The sequence below is a fragment of the Homo sapiens genome, chromosome 7 (genome assembly GCF_000001405.40).
Source record: "Homo sapiens chromosome 7, GRCh38.p14 Primary Assembly".
Lineage (NCBI taxonomy): Eukaryota > Metazoa > Chordata > Mammalia > Primates > Hominidae > Homo > Homo sapiens.
This window is the reverse complement of record NC_000007.14, coordinates 3,340,860-3,367,503: the sequence shown is the minus strand read 5'-3', so window position 1 is coordinate 3,367,503 and position 26,644 is coordinate 3,340,860. Positions and strand designations below refer to the sequence as shown.

Sequence of the window (26,644 nt, the reverse complement as noted above, 5' to 3'; positions counted from 1 at the left end):
TGCCGGGAATGGCACTCTGTGGTTTTCTAGTATTGACTGAGGAAAGAAACCAAAATAGGACCTGGAATGATGCCCTGTGACAGTTGGCTTGAAATATAGTCAAAAAAAGTGAGCAGCTAGAGAATGCAAACATAAAAAGTAATTCCTAACTTTTCTATTTTATTTTCTATTCTATTCCTTGCTTTCCTACACAAAATTCCTAACTTTTCTATTCCATCCATTGTGAAACATGTACCTAAAGATCCAGATCACATGAAATTACAACGATGACAAATTACAAATATAAAAAAGATACATTCTTTAAAACTCATTCCTGGCAAAAAATAAAAATAAAAATAAATAAATAAATAAATAAAATAAAATTGTAGGCAAAGTCAAAAGACCAATGGCAAACTGGGAAGTAACTTTCACAACTTATCTTCCAAATAAATAATCTTCCTTCCTCTTTAGAAATAAAAACAATAGGCCGGGCGCGGTAGCTCACGCCTGTAATCCCAGCACTTTGGGAGGCTGAGGCAGGTGGATCACGAGGTCAGGAGATCGAGACCATCCTGGCCAACATGGTAAAACCCTGTCTCTACTAAAAATACAAAAATTAGCTGGGCATGGTGGTGCATGCCTGTAATCCCAGTTACTTGGGAGGCTGAGGCAGGAGAATTGCTTGAACCCAGGAGGCAGAGGTTGCAGTGAGCTGAGATCACGCCACTGCACTCCAACCTGGTGACAGAGCAAGACTCTGTCTCAAAATAAATAAATAAATAAAATAAAAACAATAATTATCAAAAATCCAATATACAAATAGGCAAAAGACATGAACCAACAGTTGACAAAAAGACAAAAGTCTTTAAATGTTTTTAAAGATGTTCAACTATCCCCATAAATGTAAATAAAAACTACACTGAAATAGCACTTCTCACCTATCTGGCAAAAATCTGCTCTTGTGACAAGCCTCAGAAGAAACTGAACGTCACAAACACTGTTGATGAAAGTACAAAATAAAATCCCCATAAAGGGGAATTCTGCAGGATCTAATAAAAGTACACATGGCAAAATTACCCAGTACTTAATGTAACTGTAAAAAGGAGTGAGGAAGATCTCTATGTGCTATAATGGAGTAATCTCCAAAATATATTGTGAAATAAAAAAAAAAAGAAAGGAGGAGACCAGAGACCATAGACTACTACATTGTGTATGAGAAGGAAGAAAAAGCAAGTACTTTCTTTTACAACAAAAAAGTAATAAAAATGGTTACCTATAGGGTGATACTGGGAAGAATGAAAACAGAGAATGCTTCTCTATGTAGAACTTTTTATTTAATTTTGACTTCAAACCTATTTATATGGAAAGAATTAATCCAGAAATTGAAAACTCAGAATTAGAGAAACAGAAATAAACCACTATTAACATCGAATCGGTAAAATATCTACACAGAAAAAATATATGAAGAGACTTTTTTTTTTTTTTGAGACAGAATTTCATTCTTGTCGCCCAAGCTGGAGTGCAATGGCACAATCTCGGCTCATTGCAACCTCTGCCTCGCAGGTTCAAGCAATTCTCCTGCCTCAGCCTCCCAAGTGGCTGGGATTACCGGTGCCCGCCACCACGCCTAGCTAATTTTTTTGTATTTTTAGTAGAGACAGAGTTTCACCATGTTGGCCAGGCTGGTCTCAAACTCCTGACTGACCTCAGGTGATACACCCACCTCGGCCTCCCAAAGTGCTGGGACTACAGGCATGAGCCACCACGCCCAGCCTGGAAAAAAGACTTGAAGAGACTTCTAAAGTCAGTGTTCTGTCTCTACATCCTCAGCAGTATATATTGAAAGGACTATGCCCTTCAAAAAAACCTGCAAGGAAATCTTAAATTTTATTCAATAGTTTTAATTTTAATACAGCAATTTTAAAACATTTATGTGTATAGTAAGATAAAGCAAATAAGTTGATATCATTAAGAAATCACTATTTTCAGTGTAAGAGAAAATGAATAGAAATATATAATGAAATAAGTTAAGGGGAAGAATTTTTCTGCTAAATTTGAATTGAAAACATTGATACAAACTCAATTATTTTTATTTCTTAGTTCCGACCACTGAAAGAGTTCTGAAGTAATGGCCTCCTATTGCAATGGTACCCAGAATCTTGGTTTTCAAATTATTCTCCCCTAAAAGGAACCAGAGTTTCTTGGAAAAGAGGTTCCAGGTGTTAGAAAAGCACAAGATGAAAAGTGACTCACTCAAACTGAAAATGAATACAATTGAGACACATGTCCACTACCACCATTCTCTAGCAAACAATCTACTCCTGTATGAGGCACTCCAATTTACTTTTTTGTTTTGCCCTCTCCATGTTCAATGGCTTTACATTACACTGCAGAAGTTGCGGCCTCAAATCAGCAAGGTCACAGGATATAAGATAAAAACTCCTATATGCTAGCAGTGAACACACTGACACCAAAATTTAAAATACAATACTACTTACAATCGCTCCAAAGAAAATTAAGTTCTTAAGTGTAAAGCTACCGAAACATGTACAGGACTCATATACTGAAAACTAAAAATGCTGATGAAAGAAATCAATGATGTAAACAAATGGTGAGACATACCATGTTCATAGATTGGAAGACTCAACACAGTAAAGATGTCAATTCTTCCAAAGATTTGATGCAATTCCTATCAAAATCACAGCAAGATTTTTTTCTAGATACAGAAAAGTGTATGCTAAAATTTATCTGAAAAGACAAAGGAACTAGAATAACCAGAAACAATTTTGAAAAAGAAAATAAAGGGGCAATCATCAGTGTACCTGATTTCAAAGCTTATTATATAGCTATAGTAATCAAGACAATATATTATCAGCTGGGGGACATACACAGATCAATGAAATAGAGTAGAAAATGCAAAAACAGATGAACAGATATGTCCAAGTGATTTTTGAGAGAGGTGCAAAAAAAATTCAATGGAGAAAAAATAGGCTTTTCAACAAATGGTGCAGGAGCAATTGCATATCCATGGGTTTAAAAGCAAAAAAAGAACCTCAACCATATACAAAAGTTAACTCAAAATGTGCCATGGACTTTAATGTGAAACATAAAACTACAGAACTTTTAAAAGAAACCAACACACGAGAAAATTTTCAGGATCCAAGTCTAGGCAGAATTCTTAGTCTCGACAGCAAAAGCATGACCCATAAAAGAAAAAACTTATCAATCTGACTTCATCAAAATTAAAAACATTTTCTACGCAAAAGACCCTGTTAAAAGAATGGAAATAGAGTCTACAGAGTGAGAATATATTTGTACGCCAAATGTTCAACAAATGCCTAGTATCTAAAATATATAAAGAACTCTTAAAATTCAACAGTGAAAAACGATCCAGTTAGAAAATGGATAAAAGACATAAACGTTTCACTGAAGAGGATATAGAGATGACAAACAAGCACATGAAAAAACAATGTTCAACATTAGGGGAATGCAAATTAAAACCAAAATAAGGTATCACCACATACATCTCAGAATGGCCAAAATGAAAGATAATGGTAACACCAAATAATGATGAGGATGTGAAACTGGATCACATTCACACATTTCTGGTGACAACGTAAAATAGTATAACACTTCAAAAAAGGTTTCTTAAACCAGGGGTCCCCAACCCCCAGGCCAACAACTGTTACCAGTCCATGACCTGTTAGGAACCAGGCTGCACAGCAGGAGGGGAGCAGTGGACGAAGGAGCATTCCCGCCTGAGCTCCTCCGGGCAAATCAGCAGCAGCATTAGATTCTCATAGGAGCACAAACCCTACTGTGAACTGCACAGGTGAGGGATCTAGACTGCGTGCTTCTTGTGAAAACCTAATGCCTGATGACGTGAGGTGGAACAGTTTCATCCCAAAACCATCCACACCACCTCCCACCCTTGGTCCATGGAAAAACTGTCTTTGAAGAAACCGGTCCCTGGTGCCAAAAAGGTTGGGGGCCGCTGTCTTAAACAACAAACATACAATTAACATACAAGCCAACAACTGAATTCCTAGGCACTTATCACAGAAAAAAATGGATACACAATAAAATCTATAGACAAATGTTTATAGCGACTTTATTTGTAACCACCGAAACATGGAAACAACCCAGATGTCTTTAATAGGTGAATGGTTAAACAATCTGTGGTACACAGTTTCCATGGAACACTACTTAATAAAAAAGAAATGAATTACTGAAATAGAAAACAATCTAGATGAATCGTCAGGGAACTATGCTGAATGAAAAAAGAGCAATATCCAAAGTATAATTCTATTTATATAACATTTTTGAAATGATAAATTTATAGAAATGGAGAACAGATTCATGGTTGCCGAGCAGTGTGGAAGGAGATAGGAGAGGTCAGTGTGGCTGCAGAAGGGCAACATGAGAGATCCTTGTGGTGATGGAAACGTTCTGTTTCTTGACTGTACTAAAGTCAATATCCTAGATGTGGCATTGCTCCACATTTAACAAGATGCCACCATAAGGGGAAACTGATGAAGGGGGCAGAGGATTTCTCTGTATTATTTCTTATAACCGCTTGTGAATCTACAGTTGTCCCCAAAATAAAATTAAGTGGATATTTTTAAGTGACTGAACTACACTGAAATGAAATATAAATGTTTATCATCGTAAAATTATCCAAGGTTTTCTCAGAAGTCTAATCACACACGCATGGAAAACTATAAAAGTATAAATAATTCCAAAAAGTACCTTTTACATGGTACATGAAAATGTCTTCCGGGAAGAAAACTGGTTGTATATTCATTTAATTATCAATACATATTGTTTCCCATTTTCAATATTATTTCACACTACAAAGTGCTGGCTTACAAAGTAAATGCAAATTAATTTATCAAAATTAATTTTAAATCTTGTACATTTCTTCAGAAGTTTGAAAAGAAAAACGCAATTATGCTTTAAAAAATTTTTAAGTTTAATATTTTAATGAGGCTTGTAAAGATATAGGAAAAAATATGCAAAATTGGCATTCCTTTAGATATGGTAAATCCAAGAATTATGAGTTTGGTGCTGCAAAAATTTTCTGCTGCTATATATTTATGATCAAACACAATCACCAAAATACTACTCAAATAAGATCACCACGATAACAAAAAGAGAAGATTCAAACAGGTGTTAGATAAATCCTCTCCAAGAAAAGTCTTCAAAAAGATAGTCTTCAAAAAGGTGAAAGAAGTCTGCATTTACACTCAGCTCACATATACATCTGTGTACTATACTATGTGAAAACAGATTACACACTGTCGTAGTCGGCCACCAAATGCCTCAGGGATATATAGGGTTCTCCCAGGGTTAATTTCATCTAGATTCTACAGTAAGAGTTATTTATCACAGCACAGTCCTCAGATCAAAATGCTATTATAAGAACTAGGTCCCTTCACTCAGAAAAATTATTTTTCTCTCCTTTCCTTTCTATCCTGCTTTAAAATCGCAATAATAAACTTTAAATCCTTTAGTTGTGAGAGTTTTGCAATAAAGCGTGGTACCAAGACATAACTCAATGTGGAGAAAATGAGGACTGCCACTGAAAATGTAATCTGCTCTTAGATATATAGTACTTAAAAGATATTTTAAAAAATTGCCAGGTTGTGCATATGGCTTACTTTCAGTATTATTAGTATAGCACTTTAAATAACCATCTTGGAAAATTCACCGGTTATTCTTGATTGATTGAGAATAGAAACGCACCAATACTGTGCATGGAACAATTGTTATTTCTCCCCACTAATAAACCTGCAATAAATGCCCTATTTCGTGTGACCAAAGGTGATTTCTAAGCCAATAGTTCTAAAGAGGTGGCAGCCATAGGGTAATTGATCAGGCACCACACCTTGCTCTTATTTCAAATTGCTTACTGAGATTTAGAAACAATTAAAAAATAAACCAACGAGGGAGGGTAAAATTGTAGATTTAAATATAGAGTGAATCACAGGGCGGAGAACAAATAGAGAAGATGTGGGAAACGAAGGTGAGAGAGTAGAAAGAAACCCAAGGCAGGCAGAGATGCTGGGAAGGGAAGAGAAGCCAAGGGCAAGAACTTGAAACAGAAAAAGCAAGAACCACAGTTACCAGAAGGTGGGACAAGAAAGTGGAATAGAAGAACAAGGAACACAGAGGTCCTATGATAGAAATGCAAATGTTCTCACCATAAGTGTTTAAAAATTTACGACTAATTTCAATTCGGGTTTTAAAATGAATTTTTTAAGGGACACGGTCTCACTCTGTTATCCAGATGCGAGTGCAATCCTCCCGTTTCAATCTCCCGAAGAGTTTACAGGCATGAGCCACCACACCTGGCCATAAATAATTGTAATATAGAAAAAACTACAGTATCAATTGCAGATTTTTTTCTAGGAATTTAGTATGTGTTTAAGATGATTTGATCAATACGGTTTTTAAAGTACAACAGTCTGTCACTTTAAATTTCAACCAAAGGGGAAAGATGATGGATGTAACTCCCAACACACCATTTTGTTTCTTTAGCACATATGCTATAAATGGCAATTGGAGGCCTTACTATTCAAACGTGTTGAATAACCCATCGATGAATAACCCATATGATGTCAAATGCATCATGACACATAGGCAGTACTATCTCCAATATGGAAATTCCCTAAATTATAACTCCCCCCACTATCTCCCAGCACTCACAATTACATAACAGAGTGGAGTCTTCTCTGCCTCTGTGGGGAGGGGGGACTGCTAATACAGTCAGACTGACAGAATAAACAGCTTCTCACCCAGTGCTCCAGGATCAGACAGACCAGGTGGTTGGGATAGTGACAGCAGCACTGGGCCAAGGTAACAAAACCTAGGACACGCAATCCAACGCCAGCTTGTCATATATTCCTAAGAAAATTTAAAACACCTGGGAAAGAAACATTTGTATCTTTCATCAGCAATTTTCAAGTTATTTCTATCGAAAATATCAATAAACCTGAGGCCCAATATTAACAAGAGAATCCACTCCGCCCACAAACACACACAAATTCATGTAACACTTCAATAACATTATAAGCCTGGCATCTGAGTGGGACATCCCAGAGCTACATTTGCATAATGATGTTCTGTTAAATCTAATTGCTTTAAAATACCCATTCTTTGCACCTGTCTGATGAGAATCTGCCCCAGTAGTTCCTAAAATCTAGATAACTTAAGAGCTTCATTCAACAGATTGCATATAATTCAACAGATTGTCTATCAAGCACCTGCTGTGTCAGGTATTTGGCTGGGGCTATCCAGGAATATAGTGACTAGTGTGACTCCTGACCTCTTGGAGTTTACATTCTACCACTGAATAAGCAAACTAATAAAAGTGGTTAGAGTGTTAAAGAAAGCAGGCTCTGGTCTAAGAATGCTGAAGGCCATGACATAAGAGGAAAAAAACTTCTCTTCTCCTGTCCCTCACATTTTGCAGCTTGCAAAGATGACAGCAGAATGGCAGAACCAGAAGCAAAACAAAGTGTTGTAATATTTTGCTTACAAACTTTCTTTGTGAGTGTGTCTGTTGCTGTAAATAAAGTAACTCCAAGGCAAGGTGGATGCCTCAAGATTCATTCAGCCAAACAGAGCCTTCTACATTTGCCCTAAGACTTCATGGGTCACAGGTACAGTAAGAATTCCTGTCTCCAGGGTTTTATTACTGAACATTATTCCTTTCTCCAGAATGCCCTGGAATGTCACATCCCCCAAAGAGTTCCACAATGCCTGAAGATACCGTCTCACAATTACTGAACTCCTGAAAGTGAGGTTCACAATTGATACAGCTCGAGCATCCTCACAGCGCGCCACCCGGGAGCCCAGCATCTCCTGGAGTGGAATGTCAGCACTAAGGGACCAGGCGGTGATCCTGTGGTGTGGACAGACACTTTAGAGGAGGTATCCAAAATGTTTATCTGAATGCATCCCTGGCCAGGTGTAGAAATACTCATCACAAACAAGCAAAAATAGACAATCAAAAAATTAAAAACTAAAGGCTACTAGCCTCTGTGATTCTTTTAATAGCCTGCTAGTACAGTTCCTAACTTGCCACCTTCCCTAAGATATTGGCCATATTTCTCAATTCTGCATGTAACAACAACAACGAAAACTTAACCTTAGACAAAAAGGCAATGTATTCACTATGCAAGTGGGTAGCATGGAGGACATCTACCATTCCAGGACCCAGATTCCTCAAGTGCCATCAGGCTCAAGCCTCCGGGCTCTGCTCCCTGTGTGTGCTGCATTCTGCTTGGTGCCAGGAAGGGGGCCACTTGGCAGCCCACACACCACTAGCAATCCAACCAGAAGAGGCAGTCTCTCCCTGCTACTCCTACAGAAAAGCACCAAATGGGACTCCAATTGACCTGCGTGATCACATGTCCATTCCTTAAACTAACGCTGTGTCTCCAAGGTGATGCCATAAGGTTCTATGATGAGGAAAATGCCAAAAACAATCCCTGAGGAAACCAGCATAACTCCCGGAGTTCTTAGAAAAACAGACTAAAAACCAGGGCTGTGATTAAGATATTCTTGGGAAAAAAACTGCACCAATGTTCTAAACCATGCCCTAGAAATGGGTTTACCCTATTCCTACCCATAACAATCATTTAACACTATTTGAAATTGAAAAGAGGAAATAATAGTTAAAATGTTTAACACATTTATTAAATGCTTGAAACCCACCCCATTTTGCCTCCATCTAGGACACATTCTTATTTACTGTAGCGCAAGTACGTATAAAGACCTCAAATTAAGTCTTCCAGGGGATGACTGCCAATTGGATTCATTCTCAAGATCAGTATCAATGCTCAAAGCTGCTAGAACCTTCAATCCTACAGAAAATTCTAGCTGCATAGTAATTCCTGAAAGCACTTAATTCTGAGATTGTCTTTACAGAAAAATTTTTTGAGTCCTACCTTAACTTATGCTGTAAGCGTGAACAATGTAATGATGGCTGACTCTGGGCACACTACCTATGGGTTAGCCCTGCTCTGCGAGGAGCAGTAGCTGGGGGAAAAAAAGAAAAGAGAAAAACAAAACAAGAAAAAAAAAAAAAACGTTGTAATGATTAGCTAATTGCTCCAAATATTTGCCCCTCATTAAAACAACTTCATATTAAAACAAATTGTCAAAGATCACCACTTCTAGTACAAGAAATGAATGAGGGCTGGGCATGGTGGTCCATGCTTCTAATCCCAGCACTTTGGGAGGCTGAGACGGGCAGATCACTTGAGGTCGGGAGTTCAAAACCAACCTGGCCAACATGGTGAAACCCTGCCTCTACTAAAAATACAAAAATTAGCTGGGGGTGGTGGCATGGGCCTGTAGTCTGAGCTACTCAGGAAGCTGACGCAGGAGAATCGCTGGAATCCAGGAGGCAGAGGTTGCAGTGAGCCGAGATCCTGTCACTGCACTCCAGCCTGGGACACAGAGTAAGACTCTGTCCATCCCCCAAAAAAAAAGAAAAAAAGAAAATGACTGGGAATAGCTTATATGTCAATCTATGAATATCATTAATGATTTAAAGTTTTATTATGCTACATCATTTATGTTACTCTATACTTTTTATATTTTTAAAGCAAATGTAATTTAGAAGTACATCTACCACACATAACTAAGAGCCTGCAAAGGGGAAAATACGCTTAATCACAAATCATGAATCCAATAGCAAAGAAAGTTCAGAGTTTACTGTTTGGTTTTTGAGAAGATACTGTCACTGGGGACTTTGTTTCTGTGTCATGACCAAGTCATGGGGAAAAAGAGAAAAGTGGAGGGATGTGAGGGCCTAGACAGGGGAAAAAGGAGAACAGGAGGCTCAAGACTGGTGAGGAAGGGGAGTGGGCTGGGCGTGCGGCTCATGCCTGTCATCCCAGCACTTCGGGAGGCCAAGGGAGGAGGATTGCTTGAGCACAGGTGTTCAAGGCTAGCCTGGGCAACACAACAAGACCCCATCTCTACAAAAAAAAAAATTAAGCCAGGTATCGTGGCATGCACCTGAAACCCAGATGCCAGGGAGACTGAGGTGGGAAGATCACCTGAGCCCAGGGAGACTGAGGCTGCAGTGAGCCGTGATCGCACCATTGCACTCCAGCCTGGGCAACAGAGTGAGACCCTGCCTCAAAAAAAAAAAAAAAAAAAAAAAAAAAAAAAAAAAAAAACACTAAAAGAAGGGGAGCAAGAGTAAAAAGACAGTGAAACATAAAATGCCAAATTCCTTAAGACTGTGAGTGTGCACATATACATCAACAACAGAAGCATCCAGAGTCTCTAGAAGATTAAATCATGTGACTTTACAAACACATGATTCCAAAAGGAAAAGAAAGAGATACTTCAAGAAATTAATGTGGTCAAGCAGGTATTTTTCTGATGAGTTTAGATTTTTAAAGGAAATGTTTAACAGAAAGAAGTATCTTTTTTTTTTTTTTTTTTTTTTCGAGAGAGTCTCGCTCTGTCACCCAGGCTGGAGTGCAGTGGCACTATCTCGGCTCACTGCAACCTCTGCCTCCCAGGTTCAAGCGGTTCTTCTGCCTCAGCCTCCTGAGTAGCTGGGATTAGAAGCACGCACCACCATGCCCAGCTAATTTTATATTTTTAGTAGAGATGGGGTTTCACCATGTTGGTCAGGCTGGTCTTGAACTCCTGACCTCGTGATCCACTGGCCTCGGCCTCCCAAAGTGCTGGGATTACAGGCATGAGCCACCGTGCCTGGCCTCAGAAAGATGTATTTTTTGTACAAAAGAACGCAGGGATCTCTAAAATTCCCAAAATTCCTATCAGGAAACAATAGCAGAATAAAATTGGGTTTGCAAAAATTGAAAAAGTTTCCTTAGTTATATTATATTGTAACAAACAATTACAGACAACACACTTAGTTCTATACCTACTTTCTTGGTCAGATAAAATTATCTTCAGAATACACACAGAAAATAAACATTGGAAAGAGAAAACTAAAATCCAATGGTAAGCAAAAATAAAGGAGGAGGTCTTAGATCATCCAAATATACTGCAGCCTCCCAACTCGTATGAATTATAACACAGAGACTTGGGGATAAGGTCATGGAACACCTGCCTCAATCTTTAAAGAGCGGTAACAAACACGAGGGCTTCCGAGAGCTGGCAGCGTCCTACTTCTTGATGTGCACGGCAACTGCCCAGATGTTTATTTTACAGTTGGTTGAACTGTACATCTGCTTTATGCACTTTGTTATATTTCACCACCAACCCCCACCCCCCAAAAAAGAGGTCAAATCTAAAAGGTACAGGATGACTAGAGAAGGGCAAGCACTGTCTCAATTTTCCAAAACTACAGATATTTATATTAACTGTGAATCCCTAGCAACATTCTTACAAGCTAAGAAAATAGCTTGTAAAAGCTAATGAGGCTGACATGGGAATTCATAAGCTACAAGGCTGTGAAACTTCCTTTTTAAACCGTGTTATCTGTCAGCAACTATGGCCTATAAGCACTATAAGGTGTCTATTTGTTCAGTGCAGTCCTCATGACAATGGGGTGAGCGTGGAGGACAAGCTGGAGAAATACCATGAATGCTGGAACATGATTTAACTTTGAAGAGAATAAAAAGAACAAACAGCAGGATCAAGTTCACTCTAGAGGGAAGACTGCAGACATGCTGCAAAGTTTTATGCCCCAACCTCTCAACATCTGAAGGTAAGAATATAGGAGGCATAAAATAGCAGATTAAATGGGTAAAGAATTTGGGACTAATAGATGAGTTTAGAGGCTATTTCCTGAAATTAGGATCAGAAGCCTTTGTTAAAATATAAATTGCAATGACGGGTGTCTGCAGGAATAGATTTGTCGGTGGAAAGCTGAGGGTATTCCCAGTGATGGCTTCTATTTCCTCCATGAAAGGTACCGTGAAGATGGAGGGAACAGGGGATTGAGAAGAATGGGGAAGATCTAAGAAGGTGATGCAAAGAACGGAGAAGAAATCTAACTGGAAACACCACATAAGTGTTAAGATTTAAATTTACAAATGGCAGCCAGGCCCAGTGGCTCAGGCCTGTAATTGCAAGCAACATGGGAGGCTGAGGCAGCAGGAAGACTGCTTGAGCACAGGAGTTGGAGGCCATGGCGAGCTACGATCGCACCATTGCACTCCACCCCAGGCAACAAAGCAAGACCCCATCTCTAAATAAATAAATTTGCAAATCGTTAATGGGACATTTTCACAATTTTCTTCAGTGGATAGCTACATTTTAAAAGTAACTCCATAATCTACGTGAATGACGCATTTATATTTTAAGAACTTTAGGTCTAGTTTCAGAGAATATTCACAATTTTTAGATATAAGATACTCTGAAATCTTCAATTACTTTAACAGGAAAACACCTTGCTGCAAATTTTAATAAGATGTGTCAATGGAATTAACAAATAACATGACTAAGAAAAGACTAGATTTGGCCAGATATTTCCCACCACAATTTAATCAGAGAAAATGAGAAAATAAACTGTAGCTTAATTATAATCATATAATTAGAGCTTCCCCACAGACACAAGAAAGTAAACCACTTTCACATGTAGTGAGTGTTGGCTGGTGGATTATTTTAAGCATCTATTGTTACACAGCAGTGAGGCCTCTTTAACGTGATCAAGTACGTACACTTTAAGTCCAATCGTTTCCTTGGTTAGCTGCTTCATTCTGTTTTCATTTTGAGATATTCAAGCATAATCTAGTCAATAATATTTTGCCCTTATCCGTCAGGATGTATTTGTAATAAGGGCAGGGGTTAACATATTAGCTAGCAGGGCTATTTAAATAATCTACCCAAGACCTATAAAGTCAATATTAATTCCCAATGAAACACAATTAACTTCTGTGATTTAATAAATGGGTAGCTTTGATACACATGAAAAAAATGTAGACTGATTACATTTGACAATTTTCTTTCAGGAGCTATTAATACACTGACACCACAAAATATTCTTACAATTGAAGTGTTAAGACTGTTAACTTTAACTTTTATTATGTTACCTATACTTCTTTCACGGAAAACTCTCGAATAATCATTGGAACCAATGAAAAACTATTTCAAAAAACAACTTTTTCCTTATATTCAACTTTCCAGACATAAATGTAAGGCATGAAACAGTCACATTGGTTTCTAATAGGTTTATATCCCTGTTTTTTTTTTCCGTTTGACTTAATAATCTGAATGCTGGTTAAATGAAAAATGGTCAGGCCAGGCGCTGTAATCCCAGCACTTTGGGAGGCCAAGGCAGGCAGATCATGAGGTCAGGAGATCAAGACCATCCTAGCTAACACAGTGAAACCCCATCACTACTAAAAATACAAAAAATTAGCCGGGTGTGGTGGCGGGTGCCTGCAGTCCCAGCTACTTGGGAGGCTGAGGCTGAGGCAAAAGAATGGTGTGAACCCAGGAGGCGGAGCTTGCAGCGAGCCGAGATCTCGCCACTGCACTCCAGCCTGGGCAACAGAGCGAGAGTCTGTCCCAAAAAAAAAAAAAAAGAAAAGAAAAATGGTCTGAAATGTGGCTATGGAGCCCGGTTGCAACATGAAATGTGTTCCCTGAGCAAGTCAGTTACGTAACTTTCACCTCCAACCTCATGGATGAGGAGGACGTGAAGACGTACAGAAAGCATCTGCATGGAAACTGACATGCAGGACACGCTCAAACATGGGAGGCTGCTTTTTCTAGTGATCTTCTAGATGAAATCTACAGTTAATGTTCCTTCACCAGCAAAAGGAAGCATGCTCCCTTTAACCATGAACTGTATCATCCTTGTATGTTAATCGAGTCATCAATAGTTTCTATTCATGACAGGGGAAATATCATCCCTTGTAATAGGTCTGGCTTTGACGGGCAGCTCCACTAACCATTCAGAAATAGACTGGAATGGTAAGTTACAGTTACAGAACTGTTACAGAAACTACACACAGGGCACTACTAAAAAGAGCTACACATTACTTTTCCAATTTTACAAAGAGCATAAACAGAGAACATATGCTATTCTAATAATTCCCAGGAGTGGTATAAATGTAACTCAGCTCATTTGAATTTTTTTTAGAAATTATGGTTACTTCAAAAATTGGGAGTCATGTGAGTTCCTATGTTCAGTATATTTTATAAACCCAAACGTACACTAAGGTTATAGCAACTTTTATTCCAAATGCCATCAATTTTCAAAATAACCCCCAAGATGAAAGATACTCATCAAAGTTTGTAAGTGGCTATTCAGAATTAAGTCAAGCACTTTAAGAAAAGGATAGTAAAAAGGGATATAATCTACTTAATGGTTCTTGGATCTTTCCATGCCATTACTTACACCACTTACCTATCTATCCTCTACTCAGAAAAGGGAACAATGATAACAGGAAACAAAATAGAAATAGAATTGCTGCAGGGTGCAAAAAAAGCTAAATTGGGATAATATAGAAAAAGTACTTTAAAAGAACTAATGACACGGTGGGATATGATCACCAGAAAACATTTCACATACCCTTTATGTCTTGTTTTCCCTCAAGACAGACCCTAACTACAACAAAGTATTCCCATGTAGAGCTTGTTCCTGCATCCATGATGTGACAAATTATTTCTTCAACCTGGTGCCTGTTCCGATTTAGATTCCCACTCTTCGGAAAATACAGGACAGAACTCATTTCCTCCCCAGACACTGTGAATACCTCAATTTTTTCATGCTCCTCAGAACTTTGTGAAAAGAGAAGAGAAAAAAAAAGGGTTTCCCTAGGTCACCAACACAGTAATAATCTGAAAAAAAAAGAAAAATCTCTTCTCTTTTTCCTTCAGGAATGGAAATGGGAAGGAATGGTAAAACCCCAAACAGTGTATCTGTGACAGCCCATGAGTGGCTCTGTTATTCAACATGGAAACAGAAATATCTACTTCAGCTTGTCTGAGCCTCAAATTTCCTTAGGTGTCTGGCCAAAGAACACGTAACTACAGGCACAGCTGGTCTATCAGCCTCTAAATGAATAAAAACAGGAGCCACAGCCTGTGAACTAAGCTCTGGATGTAAATCTCGTGTTTTCAGTAAATCCACAGATCTCTCGTCGTGGCACACCCTCCCTGCTACCAGCAGGAATGATCTCTTCCCCCATTTAGCTCAAACAATTACTTTCCTAATCCCACATACATGATCACTAGCCTCCTAAGAAGAATTCACAAAAATATTGGGGATCTCTGGAACGTGTATCAAGTATTTGGACATCAAAAAAAAAACCTCCCAAATCCTGACAATTTTTACATTTAGTAGGGTCAGAAGTACAGTGATTTTGTATTTAAGTGACAGATTTTTCCATTTTGTAAAACTTTTTAAATGAAACTTTTATAAATATATATTTATATATTTATAAAATTATATATTATACATTATAAGAAATATACTTCTTAATTTATTGACATACAAGGATTTTCCTGTTATCTTTTGGTTGATTCCTTCTATAATTCCGTAAGAAAAATACTCTACATGATTTCAATCATTTGAAATTTATCAATACTTGCTTTATATTCCTATATGTAATCAATGTCAGATGCTCCATGTGCTTGAAAAGAATGGATTATACAGGAACTGTAACATTCTATGAATGTCCATGAGGTCAGATTTGTTCATTGATCATGTTCTTTAAGTCTTCCATATCCTAAGATTTCTGTCTGCAAGTTGTACTATTCAGAAAGGTATGTTAACTTCCCACTAGGATTGTGCATTCAGCTATTTTTCTTGTTTCTGTATATTTTTGCTTTATATAATATGTACCTATATCTGAACTGAACCTTTTACCACTGTGCAGTGATCCTCTTCATCTCTAATGCCTTTTGCCTTGATTTCTATGTTGTCTGATATCAACATGTTATACCAGCTTTATTTTGCTTAAAGTGAGCCTGAAATAAAATTTTCCATTATTTTGCCTTCTGTATCTTTGTTTTTAGATATGCTTCTTGTAAACCTAGTATCTCAGATGTTTTTAATCCAATCTGACGTGTCTTTTAGCAGAATCCTCTAGTCTATTTACATTTATTGTAATTACTGACACTTGAATTTATAGCTATCATGTTATTGTGTGCTTTCTGTTTTTCCTGCCTCCTCTATACTGTCTTCATAGTAGACAGTGGTGTTAAGGTCCATTTTCTAATTTTTCTCCTTGTGTTGAGTAATATCAATAAATTGTTAGGTAAAATGATTCACCAATTTTTATTATTTATATGTCTCAATATAACTTTCCTAAATTCTCATGCTTCTAGTTGAAAGCAAAACATAGGACATAAAATCTTTATGAAATTACAATACAACTACCATCTGGCCTTTAAGATTAACCAATCTATGGAAGTACAAGGCTGCCCATTAAAAATGACAACAGTAGGCTCTCAGAACTGCTGCAGCTTAGTCAGTAACCAAGCTGTTTTCAAATTTTTTATTCTTCTAGTTTTACCCAGTGAAACTAAGATATATTATCACAACATAGATATCTATTTATGTATGTAGTATCAGATATTATTGATTCTTGGGGCAACCAGATGTCACTAATTGTGTTTACCCTACCATAATTCTCCTTTAATACCCAGCTCAAAATATAAACCAGTTAAAGCCAAATTCTTCAGAAGCAAAACGGTGTCATTCTACTTTTAATGGGGGGAAAAAACTATTTTAACAGTCCTACTAATTTTTTTCAGTGTCACACAAACTATCATACTGCAAGATAAATCGTGAGAAGTAAACAAGCCAGTACAAAGCCTAGCATCTTAACACAGTAAATATGACATTGGTGACTGTAGAAGGAAAAGATGAGACATCACCAGGAAAAGGTTTTCCCAAACACCTCACTGACTGGTGGTTCAAGGTAAGACTGTTAGTCTTGTGGCCCAAAGGCTCTATCATGGTCTAGAGTTGATTAGGAAAAATGCCTCAGGGCAAAGTTAAAGACAATCAATTATAAAAAGCAAAATGACATACTATCAGTATTATTAATTTACAACAAAATAACCACCAAGAAGACTGAATACTGAACTCTTCTGGGCAATGTAATCTGTCCCACTACAACTACACTGGGGAGCAGATAATAATCAGTTATGTGCTGAGTAAATTTGGAATCACAACAAAGGGACTCACTTGCTTCACAAGTTCATGGCATCACACCACATCCATTTCCACTGTGGGAATATGCCTGCCTTAGGATGCTGTCCCCAAATAAATAACGCCCACACAGACACTGATAAACTTTGTTTTTTTCCACACTCATTGTTAAGTGACAACTTCTTCCTCTGTGGCACATCCATCCTATGTTTTCTGATAGACTGAGTGTCTCCCACTCTCTCCTTCTGTGATCCATTATATACTGATAGACTTAAAATGGCTTACCTCTCCCTAAGCTAAACTTACTGTTAGTAGGTACCTTACCCACCCATCACCAATAGCATGACCTTTTGTTATTGGGCTACATTAAAAAGCAGGCATAAATGTGAGAGGCACAAAGTCCCCAAACTTCATCCTCTACCTGCTACTTCATCAAGAGTCCAGCACTGCCCAAGGAGTAAACCTTCTGTATCTACCAATCCAGGATGTGGTCTTAAGATACATGTACTCTTAGGCCGGGCACGGTGGCTCATGCCTGTAATCCCAGCACTTTGGGAGGCCGAGGCGGGCAGATAATGAGGTCAGGAGATCGAGACCATCCTGGCTAACACGGTGAAACCCCGTCTCTACTAAAAATACAAAAAAAAATTAACCAGGCGTGGTGGCAGGTGCCTGTAGGCCCAGCCACTCGGGAGGCTGAGGCAGGAGAAGGGCGTGAACCCGGGAGGTGGAGCTTGCAGTGAGCCGAGATCTTACCACTGCACTGCAGCCTGGGCGACCGAGCCAGACTACGTCTCAAAAAAAAATAAAAGATACATGTACTCTGGCCCAAAAAGGCAGGTATGACTTCCACAGTTTCCTTGCCCATATCCTTCGCTTCTTAGTCCTCTGCCCTCACAGGGCTGGTCCCCGCAGAACACATGCCTAGCCAGCTCCTTCATGGACACTGTGTTCAGTCACTCAGGTCCAATAGCCAAGCACAGTTCCATCCAACAGTAACCCCCTCCCTCCCCAGCCCCATTCCCCTTCCAGTTGGAGGAGCAGGCTTCTTTTTCAGATGAGTAACTCCAAGAATGACGTTCTCTTTAAGTGATTATGAACCACAGTCTAATAAGGGTGAGACCCTGCTCTTCCCACAAAACCACAGCCCTCATAAAGTCAAAGGTATACATCTAAATAGGCTGTTGTGTGTTTGTTTTGTTGTGTTTTTTTTGTTGTTTTTTTTTAAACTGCAACCACAGGGCAGCTGAAGGCAATGGGGGACTGAGGAAGGAGGCAGCAGAAGTAGGAGAGGAGCAAGAATCCAGAAGGGAAATGAGAACGACAAAACTGAAGTGCACTTCAACATCCTGCAGCCAAAGGGGTAAAAAGGAGAAAGAAGCGCAGACCAGTCACATAAATGCCACAGTGACATGCACAAAAACGTGAGGGGCACACTCCAGGGACAGAGTCTGACAACATGACAAGCTACATGGCATCAAACTCTTTCATGTGACAGGCAGCTTTTCACATGTGCATCTTAAGACTGGAACTTGCTATAGATAAACCTTAAGTAGTTAATAAAAGCAAAAGTCATCCTCTATTCACTGTTTGCTGCCATGTTCCAGGCATAGTACTTGGCACTTTTTATTTTATTTCACTTGATCAGCTCAGAAAGTCCTCCAAATGAGTATTTAAAAAAAATAACAGCTCACTTTTTGAAAAACAATTTCAACTTTTATTTCAGATTTGGGGGTACATACACAGGTTACATGGGGATACTAAATGATGCTGAGGTTTGGGGTGCAGACGAGCCCATAGCCCAGGTAGTGGGCATAGTACCCAACAGGTAGGTTTTCACCGCCCTGCGTCTTCCTCCCTCCCGCTCTAGTAGTCTCAAGTGTCTACTGTTCCCATCTTTATGTCCATATGCACTCGATGTTTAGTTCTCCCTTACGAGAACATGTTGTTTTCGGTTTTCTGCTCCTGTGTTAATTCACTAACAACCTCCAGCTGCACCCACCTTGCTACAAATGACATGATTTTGTTCCTTTTTATGGCTGCATAGTAGTCCATGATGTATATGAATGGCTCACATTTACTGCACACTTACCTTCGTAACAACTGTGAGTCAGGTACTAGCATTATTCCAGCTTACAGTGGAAAAAGCTGAGTCAGAGAGGGTAATAAAATTGCCTCGGATCACACAGTTATCAAGTAGTGAAGCCAAGAATCAAACCCAAGCAGTAAGCCTGGGCTATGCATTAAAACCTAAGTGCATCATCATTGAGCTTTGCTGTCTGTGATGTAAACATCGTCCCCACTTTAGAGGTGAGAGACATTTAGGGAGGTAAACACACCAAGGCCTCACAGAAGTGCAGGGCTGAGCTAGGACCTGAATCCACCTCATCCTCTGTTATAATACTCCTTCTCTCATTGTGGAATTATACATATTTAAGTACTTAGGAAGCAAAATACTTACACTTAAAGTGAACCTCCACTTATTTTCAGAGACTTACTACACAAAAGGAAAAAAAAAAAAACATATTTAATGTGTTTGTAACTGGCTCGATACTAAGCCACGCTCTAGTGCATAAATTATTCCCTGAGAATTAATAAAGTACTTAAGAAACTTGTATTAACTCTTTCAGGCCACAGGGGTAGCATTCAGTGAACTGAATTCTTAATTTACTAAAATGGTACCCAGAAGGTTCAGAAGAACATAACTTCCTCTGAGGGCATGGGGAGAAAAAACTTGTAAAGCCACTTAGGAATATAAACTAAATTCAGAACAAAATTAAAAACCATGCCACAGGGAAATATTGTTCTAGTGGATTAGCCTCTGGCCCTAAAAATTGGTCAGAAATGAAACAGGGAGGTTGAAAATATCTAGGAACAGAAAATCACCTTCAACGGCACATTTGAGCCCAATGGCTAGGGTTCTGGAGCCTTGACTGTAGTAATCAGAGAATAGGTGAAAAGTTATTTTGTTCCAACTTCATCAGGTACTTCTGGGAAAGGCATAGTAAGACCAACAGCTTTATGACATCACCAGATCTCCAACTGGTATCCAACATATCATATATACACTAATAATGCAAAATTAGACTCTTTCACCTATAAAAATACTGCTCCATATACAAAAGAGTATAAGAAGATATGTGCCAAGTGTTGTCAGAGTACTACAAAATTGCTAAAAGAATATAAAAAAAAATCTGGTTTGTGCACCTGGAGAAGAGTTCTTGGAAGAAGTGGCATCAAGTACAACTCCACTTAACCGGCTAACGTCTGGATGCAAGAGGCAGTGAAAGCAAGCAGAGGGAATGGCATGGGCAACCAACAGAAGCACGAAGATGCAAAGTCTTTCAGGGAACAGCAAGAATTTAACTGCAGACTTTGGTGTATGAAGTGAAACTCTCTCCAATTAGTTTAGCAGAGAAGGAGGAGAATAAATAATTCTCTCAGGGCTGGGTGCAGTAGCTCATGCCTATAATTCTAGCACTTTGGGAGGCAGAATCAGGAGGATCACTTGAGCCCAGGAGTTCGAGACCAGCCTGGGCAACATAGCAAAACACTGCTATACCAAAAAAAAAAAAAAAAAAAAAAAATATATATATATATATATATACACACACACACACACATACATATATATGTATACATATATACATATATACACACACACATATATATACGTGTATATATATATGTATACATATATACACACACACACAAACACACATACACACACACACCAAAAAAAAAAAAAGAAACTAAATTAGCCAGGTGTGGGGGTGCAGAAGGCTAAGGTAGGAGGACTGCCTGAGCACGAGTTGGAGACTGCAGTTGAGTCATGATCACATCACTGAGCTCCAGCCTGGGTGACAGAGTGAGACCTTGACTATTAAAAAAATTAAAAATAAATAAATGTTAACTCTATTGTTATTACCACAAGGGCACCAGAAAGCACAGCACACTTGTGGAATCTGAAGTAGCTTCATCGATCAGGACCATACGTACGTTGTAGTGCTGGCAGGAAGGAGAGACAAGCCTAGGAAGAAAGTGAAGCTAGATGAACAGCCTTGCACGGAGGCTCACAGGAGCTCCACTAGCCCAGGTGACACCTCTCAGTGAAGGGGAAAGGTCCCCACCCACCGAAACCAGCCCCAGAGCTGCAGACAAGCTGGCAGGACTCCTCTTCTCGCTGGTGCCCACATGCAGGGCACAATCAGCTTTATTATGAGCAGCATTTGTGCATGCACAGGAGTCTGAAATTTATTCTTAAGACAGTAGGAACCTCCCTGAAAGATTTTAAGCAGAAGAGGATGCAGTATCACAAGTTGCAATGTGGAAAAACTGAGACTCTAAATCTTAAAAATTAGACCCAAAAACATTTTATCCAGGAGTACAAGTGCCAGAAACATCTAACAATGGGGTTATTCTAAAAGAACTGTTTTAATTATTATGCTTAAAAGACAGAAAACAAGAACCGAATAACTGCAGTGGGTGATGACACTGCAATTCCAACAGACTGAACGCCTGACTACCAATGTCACGGCAGCCCAAGCTGTGTCATCTAGATGGGGTGACCTGCATCATAAAGGATCAAACATTACTGCGAGAAGCTATTCAATATGAAAAATCTCAAATTTCATGGAACAACATTATTTACTACTGAGGAGGCAATACTCTAGAGAAGCACTGAAACAGGAAAGAGACGGCAAGGCATCGCCTGGGAAAACAGATAACGCTGAGGAGTCTTTTCAGCCGTGCCACCATCCTGGAATTTGGGTTTCTGAAAACATGTTACAAGCCCTGATATGTTACTATACTCCCATCTTCAAATCAGAAATAATTTCCTGGAAAAAAAGATAACTCATGTTATTGAATGGTGGGGTTTCTCTGCCATTTAAATAAAATGGCATTGCAAATCATGCTTATTGTAAGAATGTCTAAGTTAAATATATTTAATGTGTTAATATCACTGAGTAGGATTTTACGTAATTTTTTTCAGGAAATTCTCATCTCTTAATGACAGCTACTTTGGTTTGCTGACATACTACGTTTATATTAAAAGGTTAGTTCAGTCTCTTTTTGTTTCCTAACATATGTCATGTCCCAATATCTTTTTTCAATGTATTCTTTTGAAGATATTATTTATCTGGAAGAAGTCAGGTCCCAGAGAAACCAGGAAATAGGTATCAGCATAAGCATTTTCACTATAAAATCCGTAAGTTATCTGAAAATAAAATCCTCCAAATCCAAAATGCAGTTCCTAATAACATGCCCTCTGTGTACTTCAATGCAGCAGTGATCAAACCACATTCCGTGGAGACCCGAAGTTCTACAACAAGACTTCAAAGACTTCTATAAACGCTTAACTTCTTGCAATATGTTTTAAAATCTGTAATAAAGCACAACAGTCATAATCAGATGGGTACTATTCAGATTTTTACATAAGTTGTCCCCAAAGCACTACCCTGTGTGGTAGGTCAATTTGTGCTTGTGTGGACCTGGAAATGAAGCATCTCTTGTTATTACTGTACAACAGTAAGACTGGCAGTAATCATGTCATTAACTACAAAGGCTCACCACTCATCATTTTCTGAATTTAGGACTGCTGAACTTTTACGTTCATTCTCTCAGAACTTACTACCAGGGACACTCCTGCAGTATATATGAAAAGGTAAATTATACACTAGACAGGGCTCAGGCCCATCTGATTGAAACGTGCTATCAGCATGCCATTACGTCCAGTCCAGCAACAACGAAGAAGAACACGATATCCACCTATTCTGAGAATGGTAATGCAGTTTTAACATTTGTTGCAAATTTTGGGGTATCTTCTATTTATGATAACAAGAGCAACTGTCACATTTTTATTCAGCCTGGAAATAAACTGTCTACAATTCTTCTTTTAAGCTTCCATATCAACATAAGCAAAGCACATCTTGAAACTGCAAGAGAAACTGTTCTCAAAAGCTAATAACTGCCACTACTTAAGTAAGTCGGAATTTTCTTATACAACTAACGAGAAAAAAAATTGGATCCTGAGCTAGGTACAGAGCTTCAGCTTTCCAAGATAAAAGTAGCTGTGGAGACTAGATGCACGACAATGTGAACGTATTTGATGCTACTGAACTGTATACTTAATGATTCAGATGAAAAATTAGGATATATTTTACCACCATTTTTAAAACATTTTTTAAAATTGAACATGTAGGGAGTTTCATTGTTCACTTTTTACTTTGTATTCTCTAATCCTGAAGACATTTAATTCTGTAGATTTTTTCCCCTGCACACAGTTTTCACTGTGTCCATAGGCTTTGGTACAAAATATTCCTTTTATTGCTTTGTTTGATCTAACTAAACTTAGTGAAAATATACATGCATTTCTAGTTTTTTTTTTTTTTTTTTGGTTGTATGTGTTTAGCAACTATGGTTTAGTGTCTGTACACCTTCACAGTTTATCCTCTTCATAAATGTCTTTTATCAATAATATGTCCGTAATATGTTTACTGCTTTCAACTGTTAGTCTCAACTGATCTGATATCAACACTGCCATTCTGTTTTTTGTTTGTATGGTATCTTTTTGCCCATCTCTTCACTTTCATCTTCCCCTTTAACAATTGAAGAGTTACTTGTTATCACCTGTATTTTAAGGCACTTTCCAATCTTGTCTTCTAATAGAAGTCAGTCCATTCATATTTAACTTTTTATTAAGAGATAATTACAGATTCACAAGCAGTTGTAAGAAATACTACAGAGATCCCATTCACCCTTGACCAAGTTTCCCACAACAATGACACTTTGAACAGCTAGTGCAATACCACATACAGATTATTGACATCGATACAGCCAAGATAGAGTATTTCCACCACCACAAGGATCCCACATGTCACTCTTTCATTAGCCACATCCATGTCCGTCCTACTCTCTTCTGCTCTTTAGCCACTGGAAGCCACTAATCCAGTTCTAGAATTTTGTCATTTCATAAATATTACATCAATGGAATTATACAACATATAACCTTTTAGAATAGGCTTTTTATCACTCGATGTGGAGATTCACAGTAGGTGCATCAATACTTTGGCCCTTTTTATTGTGAGAAGTAATCATGATACAGAAGTACTGTGGTTCAATAATGCGTTCACTGAAGGACATCTGGGCTGTTTCCTGTGTAGGGGTATTTATTATAAATAAAGCTTCTCTAAGCATTGGTGTACAGGTTTTTGCATGATTATGTGTTCATTTCTCTGAGATAACTATCCAAGAGTACACTTGCCAAGTTGTATCATAGTTCTACGTTTAGTTTTATAAGAAACCGCCAAACTGTTTTCTAGAGTGGCTGTACCATTTTACATTCCCACTAGCAATGTATGAGCAATGTTTCTCTGCATCTTCACCAACATTTGGTGCTTTTTTTTTTTTTTCAGCCATTTAGCAGAAGTTTTCTCCCTATGGCTTTAATTTCCATTTCCCTAATGGCTAGTAATACTGAATGTATGTCTTTTTCTGTGATTATTTGCCACTTAAATATCCTCTTTGGTGAAAAGTCTGTTGATGTCTTTTGTCCATTTTCCAACTGGATTGTTTTTTCCTATTGAATTTTGAAAGTTCTTTACATATTCTAGGTATTAGTCTCTTGGCAGACAGATGAAAATATTTTCTACTAGTATGTACCTTGTCTTTCCATCCTCTTAATATGCTCTTTCATGGAGAAAAAGTCTTTAACTGGTTCTAACTTACCAAGTTTTTCTTTTATGGATTGTGATTTTGGTGTAAAGACTAAGAACTTATTGCTTAGTTCTGGATTCTGAAGACTTCCTTTTTTTTTTCTTTTTTTTGAGATGGAGTTTCGCTCTTGTTGCCTAGGCTGGAGTGCAACGATGCGATCTCGGCTCACCGCAACCTCCACCTCCTGGGTTCAAGCGAGTCTCCTGCCTCAGCCTCCTGAGTAACTGGGATTACAGGCATGTGCCACCACACCTGGCTGATTTTGTATTTTTAGTAGAGACGGTGTTTCTCCATGTCGGTCAGGCTGATCTCAAACTCCCGACCTCAGGTGATCCACCCACTTCGGCCTCCCAAAGTTCTGGGATTACAGGCATGAGCCACCGCACCTGGCTAACTTTCTCCTTTTTTGCCTAAGAGTTTTACAATTTTACATTTATGTCCATAATCTATTTTGAGTTAATTTTGTATAAAATATAAAATTTAGATCAAGGTTGATCATTTCGTCTATGGATGTCCAATTTCTGCTCCAACACCATTTGTTGAGAAGAATAATCTATCAGTGAATTGCTTTTTCACCTTTGTCAAAAATTAATTTGGCATATTTATGTATTTTTTTAGTTCTCTGTTCCACCGCATTGATCTGTGTATCTTGATTACTATCACTATAAGGGAAAGCTTTAATATCAGTAGAGTGATTCCAACTGCTTTATTCTTTTACTAGATCGTTTTAGTTATTCTGGGGCCTATGCCTTTCCATACAGGTTTTTCAATAACCTTTTTATGTATCTACCAAAAATCTTTGCTGGGATTTTATATAGGAACTGCATAAAAGCTACGATAATTCAGGGAGAACTGACACATTTACCGTGTTGAATATTCCAGTATGTCAATATGGTTTGTGGCAACATTTGGGTCCTCTGATTTGTTTCATCAGTTTTGTAATTTTCAGCACAAATATCCTACACATGTTGAAGTTTGTATCTTTTTCACAATTTTTAGAACATAAATGGCATTGTGTTTTTAATTTCAGTTTCTGCATATTTTTTGTTAGGGTATAGAAACATGGTTTTTGTGTTGATCCTGTATGCAGCAACTATGTTGAACTCCTCAGTTCAAGAAGTTTTTTTTCTAGATTTCTTAGGATAAACAATGATGTAATCCGTAAACTGGGACTGTTTTGCTCCTCCTTTTTGGTCTGGATATCTTTTAGTACTACTGTTTTGGACAGCAAAGGTAAGACTGAACATCCTGGCCTTGTTCCCAACCTGAGAGGAAAGACATTCCATCTTTCATCATGAAGTATGGTCTTAGCTGGAGAAGGCTTTTGTTAGATGCTCTTTAGTTGAGAAAGTTCTTTATTGCTAGTTTTCTGAATTTTTAATCATGAATGAATGTTGGATTTTGTCAGATGCTTTTTATAGGTCAACTGATAGATGCTGATTTTTCTTTGGTCTGTTGATATGGTGGGTGGCATAGATTTTCGAACGTTGAACCAGTCTTGCATGGCTGGCATAAATCTCATTTGGTCATGTTAAATATTTTTTATTAATTACTCTATTTGATTTGCTAATATTTTCTTGAGGATCATTGCCTTTAAGTTCATGAGCGATACTGAACTGTGGAGTTTCTTTTTTGCTGTCTCTGATTTTGCTGTCAGGGTAATACTAGACTCACAAAATGACTTTGTAGGTCTTCTCTCCTGTTTTCTAGGTCTTCTCTCCTGTTTTCTAGAAGAGACTGAATAAAAGTGGTGTTAATTCTTCTTTAAATGTTGGTAAATTGTCCAGTGAAACCATCTGGACCCAGAGATTTTTTCTTTTTTAAGGGAGCATTTCAATT

At 38.2% G+C, this 26,644-nt stretch overlaps 1 protein-coding gene and 1 long non-coding RNA gene across 5 annotated transcripts in view; one reads left to right on the top strand and one right to left on the bottom strand.

Annotated features, from left to right (window-relative positions):
- Positions 1-26,644, bottom strand: part of SDK1 (sidekick cell adhesion molecule 1) — a 967,749-nt gene that overhangs the window by 901,497 nt on the left and 39,608 nt on the right. The window lies entirely within an intron of this gene.
- The window catches only part of SDK1-AS1 (SDK1 antisense RNA 1), a 108,539-nt gene continuing 97,313 nt past the window's right edge, over positions 15,419-26,644 (top strand). For all 4 annotated transcript variants that reach the window (XR_001744897.3, XR_001744898.3, XR_007060194.1 and 1 more), the window contains exon 1: positions 15,419-26,644. This exon is cut by the window's right edge and continues 38,631 nt beyond it. This is a non-coding gene — a long non-coding RNA (SDK1 antisense RNA 1).